General features: G+C 43.8%; 1 protein-coding gene across 5 annotated transcripts in view, besides 2 other annotated features; it reads right to left on the bottom strand.

Annotated features, from left to right (window-relative positions):
- Positions 1 to 13373, bottom strand: part of WASF3 (WASP family member 3) — a 149810-nt gene that overhangs the window by 119655 nt on the left and 16782 nt on the right. For 2 of the 5 annotated variants that reach the window (XM_047430060.1, XM_047430064.1), the window contains exon 1: positions 11129 to 11611. The exons of 1 other annotated variant lie outside the window; for it this stretch is intronic. The gene's annotated coding sequence lies outside the window, so the exon portion shown is untranslated. Of the gene's footprint in view, positions 1 to 11128; positions 11612 to 13373 lie in introns of those variants that run through there. 2 more of the 5 variants (NM_006646.6, NM_001291965.1) reach the window with 2 other exon arrangements.
- Positions 11508 to 11717: a silencer, noted in NCBI's record as "silent region_5189". NCBI's record gives its function as "represses an Ori minimal core promoter by ATAC-STARR-seq in GM12878 lymphoblastoid cells {active_cell/tissue: GM12878}" and the evidence as "EXISTENCE:reporter gene assay evidence [ECO:0000049][PMID:35858748]".
- Positions 11978 to 12037: a silencer, noted in NCBI's record as "silent region_5188". NCBI's record gives its function as "represses an Ori minimal core promoter by ATAC-STARR-seq in GM12878 lymphoblastoid cells {active_cell/tissue: GM12878}" and the evidence as "EXISTENCE:reporter gene assay evidence [ECO:0000049][PMID:35858748]".

Here is a 13373-nt window from a genome sequence, read left to right as displayed (position 1 = left end):
TGCCATTAGGTACAACAGCTAGACACACTGAGGCAATTTTATTAATTGTTTTGTTCAAATCATCTATATCCTTTGTTCTATCAGTTGCAGAGAAAGTACAAAAAAAAACTTTCCTCTATGATTGTGATTTTATTTTCTCTCCCTACTTCTTTTTAAACCAATATTATGATAATTAAAATTCTCTCTAGATGATCTAGACACCCCATTATAGAAAACAGAAAGGTGAATGTCCTCTTCTACACTAATTTAAAACGGCAGCAATTTTTTCAACTAATTATCCAAAATACTTTACTATCACCTGTCCCAAAAATAAAATCATTTTTACAGACATCCTCCAAAGTTTAATTGGGTCATATCCAATAACTCCAGACAGCAGACCGGTTTGCTTAATTACTGAGACGTACATTGTGCAACTAATTCATACTGCCAGGCATACGGGGAAAGTAGCAATACTCTACAATACATTCCACAGACAATTTACTGAGACTTTTCTACAGTCCTATGGTACTAACTTTCCCAAACCAAAATTACTTTGGTTCTGCTCTCTGGCAAAGATGGCAAATATTTCACCCTTCAGTTCCTGTGGTGTATCCTGCTGAGCTGAGATACCACCTTAACATCACTCTAACACAATGCTCCAGACTGCAATTGTTGGCACTGGCATGTGACCTAAAAGCCACCAAACCACTCATCTCTGGATGAGCACTTGCTCACGTGGTTAACAGGTGGGGAAAATTCCTGCATGCAAGTAGTCCTTCCAAGAATCTCAGAGCTCTGATATACAATCAGAGTCTTCATCAGCCCCCTCTAAATTCTCAGGTCAAGGTGTCACCTTTGGTTTGGATCAGGTACCCCTCCTACCCCATCCCAGGGCACCTTTGCTTCTCTGTCAGCAGCAGTGCATTACAGTGATCTCTTTCTTCTGCTATTCTACTAAGACCTCCTCAAGGCAGGAACCACTGATTCATCCAACAGCCACAGCACTTCGCAATGCCTACCTAGCACACAGAGCACACAGACACCCACCTTCTACCTTTGTCCCCTGTCTATCCTCTACACAGCAGTCCTAGTGATCCTCTTACAATCTAACTTAAATGGTATCATGTCCCTGCTCAAAACTTTGCAATGGTTTTTCATCTCACTCAGAATAAAATCCAAAGTGCACCACAGTCTATACGGCCCTACACAATCTGGCCCTTTAATACCTCTGTCACTACGCATCCCCCTACCCAACCCCCTATTCACACTGCCCTCCCTGCTGCTACTCGGTATCTCAAGGGGGCACTTGCTGTTTCTCCCCAAATAAGGTTCATTCCCAAAATATTTGCCTAGCTGGTTCACTCCTTCACTTTCGTTTGTATCTCTGCTCAAATGTCATCTCACATAGGCTTCCCTGACCACCTTATCAAAAATGGCAGTCTCTGATATTCTCTCTCTTCACGTGCTTCGCTTTCTTTATATATATATACACACACACGTATATATACACGTATAAATACACGCACACACATACACATAGGCTGTATACTAAAGAAAGCATAGTAAAGAAAGCAAAGCAAGTGAAGGGAGATTATATATATATATATTTTTTTTTTAATGTCGTTTATTAGCTTTCTCACCTACTACAATGTGAGCCCCATCAGAAAAGGCAGAAAATATGTTCTCCAAAACAAGGGTCAGGAATTTTTACTGTAAAGAGCCAGATAGCAAATATGTCGTACTGTGTAAGTTAGCCTCTGTTGCCACCACTTACCCCTATATCAGCTCTGCCTTGCAGCACTAAAGCAACCCCAGACAAATAAAAGAACAAACACGTCTGTATTCCAATACAATTTTCCTTGCAAAATCAGGCAAAGAGCCAGATGTGGCCCACAGGCTGTAGTTTACCAACCCCTGATCTAGAACAAGCTTGCCATGCAGGATACTGATTTTGAACTAACCAACCATCTCTCTCGGTCTCTAAAGCCACCTTTAATTGACAAAATACTGGCACTCCAAGCGCATCTGTAACAGTAACTTCAAACTATCTTCTATACATCTTTCACCAAAAAATCCACCTGAGATCACTTATATTCCTGAATGACTGTTTGAGGGATATGAAGTGTGCTTATTCTCACAACTAGAAAATATATAATAAACCATGTCAGTTTGATCCTCCACAGAATTGTTTTTGATTGTTGTACTTTCACTTTATTTAAGGACATGATAAACAGCCAAACAAGAACCACTGTTCAATGTACCACATGAATGCCACTGAGCACATCACCTACTACACCTTTCAATGTAACCAATTCAAAGCCCCAAGTGTGAAATGGGGGACATATTAAGGAAAAGAAACTGGTATCTTCTTTATGCATGGTGAAAATGACAGCATAGAGCTGAGGATGATTTCCTTTCACTGTGGCCACCAGGATGCTCACACAAGTTCCAGTCAGACTGGGGTAGAGACTAGTTATGCTACCAGTCCCCATGACCTCTCTTCTCCTGCGGCGTATAGCTCTGCTATGTGTCCAGCCTAAAGTAAGCTAAGAGAGGCCATGTCTGAGTACGGCTAGTAGGATGAGAAGCAATGTGTGCTGGTCTATAAAAACCTCCCACAGGACTGTCCTCATTCTCCACCCACTGCCTGAACCAAGCAGGTTCCCAGTTCCTATAGGAGGCTAAGTCACAAGGTGGAAAAAGGCTGACCACCTGAACAGCCATGTGGACACCTAACCCATGACGACCCCAACATAAGCTTCCACATAGGTGAGAAACAGATGCTTCTTGCTCTGAGTCACTGAAATCTTGCAGTTATTAAAGCAGTCCTCATGTCTAAGACACTGACCACGGAGACTAGAACTTTATTGATAGTACAGGTTTTGATGTATTCATTTCTGGTCTTTATATATTCTTGATTCTCATTCTTTATATTTAGCTTTATTACTGTGAGCACTTCCTATAAGCTAATCCAGACATTCATTTAATGACAGATGAGAGAAAAGTCTCCATTGCTTATGTTCAATAAATCATCATCTCAAATAATAAAAATCTGAATAAAGTACATATTCCACTTAAAACTCTATCTGTAACTTTCATTTACACACAGTTTATCTAAGTTATGTAACTGTTCAAAAAGAGAAAAAATGCTAAGTAAATATTAAAATGCAGGGCAATATTGTCTCAAATGAAATTTGACAATCATCAGAAACAAAATAGCCTAAGAAATAAAACCACAAATTTCTAAACTCCTGTGTGGCAAGAAAAAGTAACCATAATTATAGCTTAATGTAACGCAGCTGTTCTAAACTCTTCGGTGCCTAATCCCTACACAATTATTTCAAATGATGTTCTGAAGTTTTGTAGTTTTCATAATTTTTTTTTGAGGGGTGGGAACTGGACATGTCAGAAATGGAAGAAGTTTTCAATGAATGCTCTGTAACACAATGGACAAACAGCAGAGACGCTATAAAGATTTCAATTATAGCTCAGGCATCAAGTTCATTTTCATTGATAAACTTTGTAACCATTCTAAATTGCAATGCCAACTTTTGAAAAGGAGTAACCTTTTAATAATCTTCCTCCCTGGGATATCTCAAAGAACAATTCACATTCTAGAGAAGCCTTGGGAAACAAATGCTGTTTGCAGCAAGAATTAAAATCTCAAGACAGGTGTTTGGGGAATTAGGGGGTTACTGTGTATTTCTGGGTTTCTGATCAAAAGCCAGGATGATTAACTCTAAACAATATATGACAAATACTACAGAAAACCAAGAATGGAGATACGTTTTAAATCCTACAGGGCTGGTTTTTTTTAAATGTGTTTTTACATTTATATTGAAAACAGACGTGTTCTATATTGGAAAATTATAGTATTTCTGCCAAAGTTAAGATCTTACTTTTGAAGGCATGTAAAGTCAGTCTCTTCCTTCCCATTCTAAGCTGTGCAACAGCCACAACCTCTCTCAGAACAATATAAACATACTTGTAAGTTGCCCCCTCTCTCTTTACCATCTTTCTGGTTAATGGCACCCCTCAACTTGTACTAGAGTTTCTCCCGTGTACCACAGGAAGCAAGTTTTGAAATTCATGAGCCCTTCTATAAACATTAATTCTTTTTTTTTTTTTTCTTTCTGAGACCGAGTCTCACTCTTTTGCCCAGGCTGGAGTACAGTGGTGTGATCTCACCTCACTGCAGCCACCACCTCCCGGTTTCAAGCCGAGATAGCACCACGGCCTACAGTCTGGGCAACAGAGTGAGACCCTGTGTCTACCAAACATTAATTCTAACATTAGGATAGACTATGCCCCAGCAAAGAGCTGCAAAGCCAACTCAGAGCTGAAACCTGCCTAGGTAATATCCTAACACAGGACTATGTAACAAAACAGGCAAAAAAAAAAAAAAAAAAAAAAACCACAACCTTGTCATGTACATATTTTGAGAAGTTGGAAAATAAGTGATGGTAGTAGAGCAACATGGCTCAGACCATACTGTGTAAACTACCCAGTAGTGATCAAGTCCTGCTTATTATATAACCATGAATCAAAACACATAACATTTTCAGTCAATGTAAAAATACTTGTTGAGTATCTACTACGTGCCAAGAATGAACCACTTCATCCATTTAGCTGATAAAATAATGGCCACACTGATTCCAGTTCACAGTTAATCACACCTATACTTTGGTACTGCAATATAATTTCACGGAGCTTCTCAAGAGCACAAAATGGATAACAGCTCTCAATGAGAGGATGCTATGAGAGGAACTAAAATGGAACTGCCGCAGCAAGCTAATAAAATCTTCAGCATGCACTAGAGGAACTTTTAAAAATTCAATTCAGCTTTCAACTGCTAGAAAACAAGCATTCCAAGATCAAAGATCACAAAGGCTGTGAGAGGACAGCCAGTGGGAGAAGGCACCAAGTGTTACCACAGTGAAATAAGTGCAAAACCTAAATGAAGGTCTCTATATGACGACGACGTTCAAGAGGTTATCTGACAAGCTGGAACACACATATGCTATGCACAGATTATATACAAGGCACCACCCTATGTGGTTCCTGCCAACAAGGAGTTTGTGAACTAGTTAGCAAGATAATCTATCCTGTTTTACCTCACTTGAATATAAGCTTTCTGAGGGCAGCAGCTTGGTCATGTTAAACATTCTTATCACTGCTAACTAGAACAGTGCCTCAGACATAGTTGGCATACAAACATGTGTGGGCTGACTTAAGTATTTAAGGAAAAACTAAAAGGAAGAAAAGATTAAAATACCAAAAAGGTTCAAGAACATATAACACAACAGAAGATATCTTTAGATCAATTTCAAGACCACTGCTCCAAGGTCAGAGGGCACCCTGAGAAAAGATCCCAGGGAAATTTCAGAAAGTACAAAGTTGAGAAATCATCCCAGATGCTGAGCTCAGAGCCAAGGCCTAGAAGCTCCAGGAGACCTAAAAGATGAGAAATACCCTAGAATGTCTGTGATGTTTAAAATGTTTTAAAATTTAAAAAAAAAAAAAGTCAGAAGAGCTAATCTCCCAGAGAAGAGGCACATGTGCAGGCACAGAGAAGAAACAGAAGCATCTTTGGCTCCAAAGATTAAGGCTGAAATCTAAGTATGGAAAAACTATTCTTTTTTTTTTTTTTTTTTTTTTTTGAGATGGAGTCTCACTCTGTTGCCCAGGCTGGAGTACAGTGGCACGATCTCAGCTCACTGCAACCTCTGCCTCCCGGGTTCAAGCAATTCTCCTGCCTCACCCTCCCTAGAAGCTGGGAGTACAGGTGTGTGCCACTACAACTGGCTAATTTTTGTATTTTTAGTAGAGACAGGGTTTTGCCATGTTGGCCATGCTGTTCTCGAACTCCTGACCTGAGGTGATCAGCCTCCCAAAGTGCTGGGATTACAGGTGTTAGCCACCACACCAGGCATTAGTGCGGAAAAATTATTATAATCTATAAACATCTATGACATCGGGGGCGGTGCAACACTTTGGGAGGCCAAGGTGGGAGGACTGCTTGAGCCCAGGAGTTCAAGACCAGCTTGGGCAACATAGCAAAACACCATCTCTACAAAAAATAAAAATAAAAACATCTATGAAGATAGGCGGATAGGATCTGACACAAAACTGGTGCTGAGGTAAGTAGCAGAAAAAACACTGACAGGAGAGAGTATTCTGTCAGAACAGGACAGCAAAGGAGGACAGTCAGCCACAAAGACATCACGACCTGGAGACACAATGGCACCTAGGAAAAGTCCAGGGTGGGAAGCAACCGCCCTGCAAAGGAACAACCAGTCCTCAGAAGAGCATGTCTTGAGAAAGGAAGACAAAAGGTGTTCTTAAGACAACAGCAAAAAAAAGAGAAAATAAAGTCACTGCTAGAAAGAAAAGAAAAGAAAAGAGAAAAGAAAAGAAAAGGGAGGGAGGCGAAGGGGAAGGGAGGGAGGAGGGGAGGAGAGGGGAGGGGAGGGGAGGAAATCAGCCTACACCAGATGCCCCTCTCCAGTTAATGTCATTCTCTCCTCTTCATAATCAAGTTTGGGAAAGAACCAGCTTCCCTCCCTCAACACCCTTCACTCTGCAATCCACAGCAATGAGGTTCCACAGACTCCTCACCAAGATCATTCATCATGTCCTCAGGCTAACTCCAATGGAAACTCTGAAACCGCTATCTAGTGGGCTAACTCCAATGGAAACTCTGAAATTACCCTCTCCTGGTTCTTTACCAGCATTTAAACATGCTCAAATCCCCCCATTTAAAAAACAAAAACCAAAGGGTTCCCCCTTTATCTGCCCTCCCTATAACCACCCCTAACCACCAGCATCAAATTTCTTGAGCATTGCTGTCTACACATGCTGGGCTCCACTCCCTCACTCTCACTCACTATTAAATCCTGATACAAACTGGCCTCCCCCTCCCATCCCTGTCATGTCACTGTTGCCTCTAGTGTCCCCTGTATTACTAACAGCTCGCAGCAGCTGAGCACGCCCTGCCTGCTGAGGTTTCCTCGGACACCATGACCCCCATCCTTCTTAGTCCCAGTGTGGGAGCCTATTATCTGCTTCCCTTTCAAACACAAGAGTGCCTCAGATCTCACTCCACACCACTCCTTTTCTTACTCTATACACACTCCTCAAATGACCTCATCTACTCCAACAGCTTCCATTAACAAATACTGCACAGGCAAAGGCAGGAGTTCCAAAACTTTCTCTGTTCACCGCACCCTTGGAGTCTCAGGCCAAAACAAATGCTTATTGAGCAAAGAAAATGTTAAAAACGTAAGTACTTAATGTCCTAACAACTTGGTACCAACTTGAAAAAAGTACACTTTAATAGAGAGAAAAAATGGCATTTTTATTTCATTCTTAGATAACCACAAGTATTTACTAATACAGTATGTGTACACTTGTTGAGCACTGCACAATTTCTCTCAAACCTTGGAGTCAGACTGGACAATGGCCTCCCTCATTTCCTTTTCTACACTGATTTTCACGTGCTACAGCAACCACCAAAAATCCTTCTTTACAAACATGAGGTCATCGAATGGAATGGAGTGCAATCTAATCTAGACATTTTTAACTATCTTGAGCTAGTAGTTTCCACAGGCTTGAAGAGACGGAACTATGTGTTTTCCTCAACAATGTGAAACATCCCCCAGTCTCCCTGTTTGCTGTAGCACCTTAGCTGATAGTTTGGGAAACTCTCAAACTGTTTGAGACAGTCTGGGACAGCTAATAACTCTCACATGCGTCTCTCTAATCCAGACAACTCCTGATTATCTGGATCCCTAGTGCAGCCAACTGAACACACTGTCCCCTCAGCACCTGAAACTTAACCCAGCCAAGTGTGACCCATAATCTTTTCCCCAAAATGGATGCTGCTCTGTCCCCACCTAAGGACAGTGCCATCACCCAACCACCCAGCCAGAGCTGGACACTGCCCTGAACTCCTCCCTGCCCCAACTCCCCCCACCACATACACACACACGGCCAATGACCAAATCCCAGCAATTCTACCTCCTCAAATTTCCCTGCTTCAAGCCTTCCCTCTTCTAATCCATTCTCCAAAGGGCAAATTTGACCGTGTCCCTCTTTTGCTTACAATTCTTCAACCATTTCCTGTTGCCCACAGAGGTCTCCGAACTCCACACAACAGTAATCACAAGACCCCACAAGGCACAGTCCCTCCTTACTTCTCCTCCCTCACTTCTTGCCACTTCCCTGCCCTTGCCCACAACCACCCCCACTGGACTGAACTCCTGGTGTTTGTGGTTGCTCCAGTGCATCACCTCCCTGACCATCTCTCTGTACACCCTCTCCTCAACCCAGACTTCGACCAATTCCTTCTCATGGTGCTTCCTCTGGGAGGCTTTCCTGTCTCTCTGAACGTCCCTAAGCTTGGGTTTATGGTCCTCCTCTGAGCTCTTGTTGCTGGCCCCTTTCAGATCCCATATCAAACAATACATTGTAACCAACGGTTAAAACTCTTTGAGACTGAACTGCACAGCAAGCTCATCGGGGGCTGACAGAGGTATCTGTCTTGTTTATCTCTGTATCCCCGGCACATATTAAAACTCTGAAGTGTACTGAATGAATAAAGCAAATGAATGAATGGATTAGGTCATGCATGAGGCTCCTACATCCCTCACTGATTACTGACTCTATCATGGTACTTATCACACTGCACTGTAATTGCTTGTCCTGGTAGACTATGAACATCTTGAAAGCGTCTGTCTCTTATTTTTGCAACCCTAGTGATTAAAATAGTACCTGGTACCTAGTAGGCATTCATGAAATGGTTTTTTTAACATACAGGGTTATATATTTCATCTACAGTATTAAATGGAAAAAATCCAGAAGGATACACCCTATATTATGGTTACCTCTGAAGAAAGAAATAGGAATAGGACAACAATAAGACGGGAAAAAGAAAACTTAAGACTTTTTACCTCTATAAATCTCTGTGTTGATATTGTTTATTTTATAATGTACATCATTTATGTATTACTGGCATAAAATATTTCTGTATTACCAGCATAAAGTCAAGCCACAGGTAAAGAACCAGCCCTGAAGAAGAATGTGTGGGGCTGTCAGAAGCATTTAGTTCCACATGCCCAAGAGCAAAGCCAAAAAAAGCCTGACTTGAAAGAAACAGGGCCCTTAAAACGGACTGAGAAGAGAAGTTGAGAGATTCGGCCGGGAGCGGTGGCTCACGCCTGTAATCCCAGCATTTTGGGAGGCCGAGGTGGGCGGATCAACCTGAGGTCAGGAGTTCGAGACCAATCTGTCCAACATGGTGAAACTGCATCTCTACTAAAAGTACAAAAATTAGCCGGGCATGGTGGCGGGCGCCTGTACTCCCAGCTACTCGGGAGTCTGAGGCAGGAGAATCGCTTGAACCCAGGAGGCGGAGGTTGCAGTGAGCCGAGATCACACCACTGCACTCCAGTCTGGGAGACAAGAGCAAGACTCCGTCTCAAAAAAAAAAAAAAAAAAAAAAAAAAGAAAGAAAGAAAGAAAGAAAAGAAAAGAAAAAGAGATTCAAGGTCTACAGCAATGGAGAGCCACCCAAAGTGAAAAACAATCTGGGAGTACTCTTCAAAGAAAGTCCTTGGAATTCCAAAGACGATCACTAGTACTAGCCCGTGAGTAGGGACAATTCATTTAATACTTGCATTATAACGCAATTGTTTTAATCAAAACATCCCAATAACCAAAAGGTTACCTGCCATACATAGGTTTCTATGGGAACCGTAACGTGTGACTACAAAGACACACTGACAAGAGATAGGAGGTTACAATGTTGGCATGACCACTTAGCAAAGTGTGTTCCACCTTTGTTTTCGTAATTGTTGAAGATAGTGAAGCACATCATTGACTATTAGGTTGTAAATTTTAAAGCAAACAGATTTTTTAAAAACAAATGCTATTAAGCAACTTCATGTCAGCCAACTGGAAATGCAAGAACAATTTCTATATGTACATAGTTCTAGAATAAGCACAGGTTGGAAGGTAAATATAATAGTTGACCAAACTTTCCAATATTTAAACATGTGAAAAGACACAGCTTTTGTGAATACCAACTAAGAAAATCTTTCAAGATGAAGAAAAATGAGTACTACACTGAAGTCATTAGAACCCTGGGAGAAGGGAGCTGGAGAGGACACAATGAGAATGCCTTTGGGAAAGGTCAAACCCAGCTTTCGTTTGTTTAACCTCTCAAGCAGATAAAAGAACTAGCTTTAAAGAACCACTGCATTGTTTAACTGCTAGAAAAGGAGAGTTGGGTAAAGCACATATAAAAAGAAGCAATAGAATTTGCCCTAGAGACAATAGAAAGATTAGTCAATTACAATACTTTGAACTTAGTTTTGATAGAGTCGCATTTTAAGCTTTAGATAAACCTAATTTTTAAGATGCAAAATATTTCAAATAGCTATCCTCTCCCCCTTATAAAAAGTAGACTCTGAATCTTAAAATACCATGTTCTGCTATGCATTTAATTTGAAGAACTGCGAAAAGTAGTCTTTTTAATTTTCAGTTTTTGAAAACTCGAGACTGTTGCTGGAAGTAAACCGCTAATTTAAAAATTAACCTTAAAATGAGAAAGAATTCCTATGATGCTCCCATTGATCCCTAAGCCCATCACATAGTTTCTGAATAATTAAGAACTCTCGTCTCCACCAGGGAACTCTCCCTTGCAGAGGGGCCAAATCAAGAAGCAATCGCCATTGCACGTCAGCACCACAAACTGAGAGGAAGCTTCTGCCCTCGCTAAAGCCCAGGCGCGCGGGTAAAGACCCCCGGGGATGATACCCCGCGCGCCGCGGCTCCGTGCGCGCGGTCCCCCGCACTCGCGGGCCGCCCCACCTCCTCCCCTGCACTCCAAGAGTCCGGCCTGGTCTCCGAGGCCGGGAGCCACGCGGCACCGCAGCCTCGAGGGAGAGGACGCCCGCAACCAACACGCACGCGGGCACCAAGAGGGCACAGGCCAGGGCGGCGAGGGCCGAATGGGGCCGGGGGGCACGCGGAGCTGGACCAGAACCAGCGAGGGCGCGCAGACACTGAACGGATGCGAAGGTCCCGGACGCGGAGCGGCCCGGGGCGTCGTGCGTGGGGCGCGAGCGGAGGCCCGGGCGCCACTTACGGCGGGGAGGGCGGGTGGCTGTCCCGAGTCCAGGGAGCGCGCACCGGACGGCAAAGGGCCGGAGGCCCGGAGGCGCGGGAGAGAAGGGCCGCCTGGCCGCGCCGTGACGGCGAGAAGCCCCTGCCAGCGCGGGAGCCGGCCGGGAGAATGCGGCCGGGCTGCAGGGATAGGCGCGAGGCGGCGCCGCAGCCCGCAGTGGGCCCCGCCGCCCGGCCGGAGCGCGCGGCGATGCAGCAACTTCAGTTCGCCGTGGGGCCGCCCCTCCCCCGACAGCCGCCCGGCCCGGAGCCGAGAGGGCCACAGCAGCCTACAGCGGAGAGCCGGGGCGACCGCAGCCCTCACTCACCGGTCCGCGGTCCCGCCGCCGGCGCCGGGGCTGCGCTCTGAGCTCCATGGTCCCGCCGCGCCGCGGCCGCCCGGCGCACCCGCCTCGCACCACACCGCACGCAGCGGCGCGAGCGACGCCGCCTCCGGCCCGTCCACGGCCGCGGCCACGCCCCCTCCCGGCGGGGGGGCTCGGCCGGAGCAGGAGGGGGGCTCAGTGCCGGCTCCACCAACCAGGGCCAACTCACGGGGCCGCTTCACCAGGATTGGCGAGTGCCTCGGCCAATAGGGAGCCGGCGAGCGCGCTGAGCGACGGTGCCGAGGGGCGGGGGATTGCGGAGGCGGTGGCTCTCACCCTTGGTCCTCCGCCCCCAGCTCGGGATGAGGCTTAGGCAGCGTCCTTTCCAGCGAGGAGAGGTGGGGATACTTCGGGCCAAGAGACCCTTGTATCACCTCTGATTGCTAGGTGCCCATTACAGTACCTTTGAGTTTGCGCTTATATCCTAATCCTCCCTGGGTGTTGAGGGCTCCTGCACAGAGGTCCTCTACCTGTAAGGTGTCAGACGTCCTCCAGGGCTGAGGCTTCAGGCAACCCTGAGAGGACTGTAGCCCTGTTCATGGGTTGGTTTTATGCCCTGCTCAAATTCGTTAGCATTCTTAAAATCTTCCCATCTCCTTCAACACAGATTCTTCTGTTTTTATCACCCTATAACCAATCTCTCTCCACCCTAGATGTGAGGAAATCCACAATACTTATTAAAACTAAGATATCCCTGAAACTGCCAGCTAAGCCCTGCCACAGTGGAACATAGCCACGTGCGACCAGATGACTGAGGCATAAACAAACTTAAGAAAAAGAAAGGAGGAAAGGAAAGGAAGAGAAGAAAAGATAGAAAAGCCAAGATAGAAAAGCTAGGTCACAAAGGAAAGGGGTTTAAAAACATCTAATAGAAATGTTACCTTTATTTTAATTTGCATGCCTTTATTCTTTTTATTTACCAATAGGATCACTAAATTGAAAAACTTTTAGGAAAAAATTTTAAATTCTAATGAATAGTTCAAGAAACACTAATTCAAGTTGGTTTGCTCTTTTCTTTACAGATGTGTAATAATGATCAACATCTAGCTAGAGACAACTAAAAGTTGGAAAAAATGAATAGCAGTTAATAATTTCACCAAAGTTTGCAACACCAGAAATGCAGTAGAAAAATCATGCAGCCCTCTTCATAAAATGTCTAATCTATTAACCTGCATTACTTCCAAAGGAGGGATTTTAAAAGCTCTTTTTAAAGATGACGTATATTCAGTTTCCATAAAGTGCCATCATTTTAAAAAATTGCTGGTAATTAACAAGGTAAACAGGATTTTGGTGAATAATTACAGTGACCCAGTATTTTAAATATTGATACTAGAGTGACAAATGTCTGCTGAATTGAAAGCTAAATTGGCATTCAAATTAAAATGACTTTCCTTCATTTCATCTTCACTTACCCAGGGGAATGGCTTCCATGTCTATGTTTAGGTCATTAATTTAGAACTCAAAAATATGAAAGTATAGATACCCAGAGTGTTTTCAAGGTTGCTAATCATATTTCCCTGGCTGCTTCCCTCTTCGGTGACCCCAGCCTTATAAACCGCTGCTACACTTAGTTTGCACTCACTGTTAGCCCTTAAACACATCATCCCAAAGTGTTCAGGTTTGTTTCATATAGGTCAGTCTTACCTCTCTAATTAGATCATCAGTTCCATGAGGATAAGGCCCTTATTTTACAGTCCTCTTTCCTCCTTTTATAATGCCTAGTACAGTGCTGAGCATGTGGTAAATATGATTCTATTCCTAGTGTTGTGGTTCATGGTACAAATAAATTATTTCAAATATGGTCTTGTGTGAACCAGTCCTTTAAATAAAAACTGCTTAGAG

Source organism: Homo sapiens, chromosome 13 (assembly GCF_000001405.40).
Source record: "Homo sapiens chromosome 13, GRCh38.p14 Primary Assembly".
NCBI lineage: Eukaryota > Metazoa > Chordata > Mammalia > Primates > Hominidae > Homo > Homo sapiens.
The sequence above is the reverse complement of the archived record's forward strand: the minus strand, read 5'-3'. Positions and strand labels throughout refer to the sequence as shown.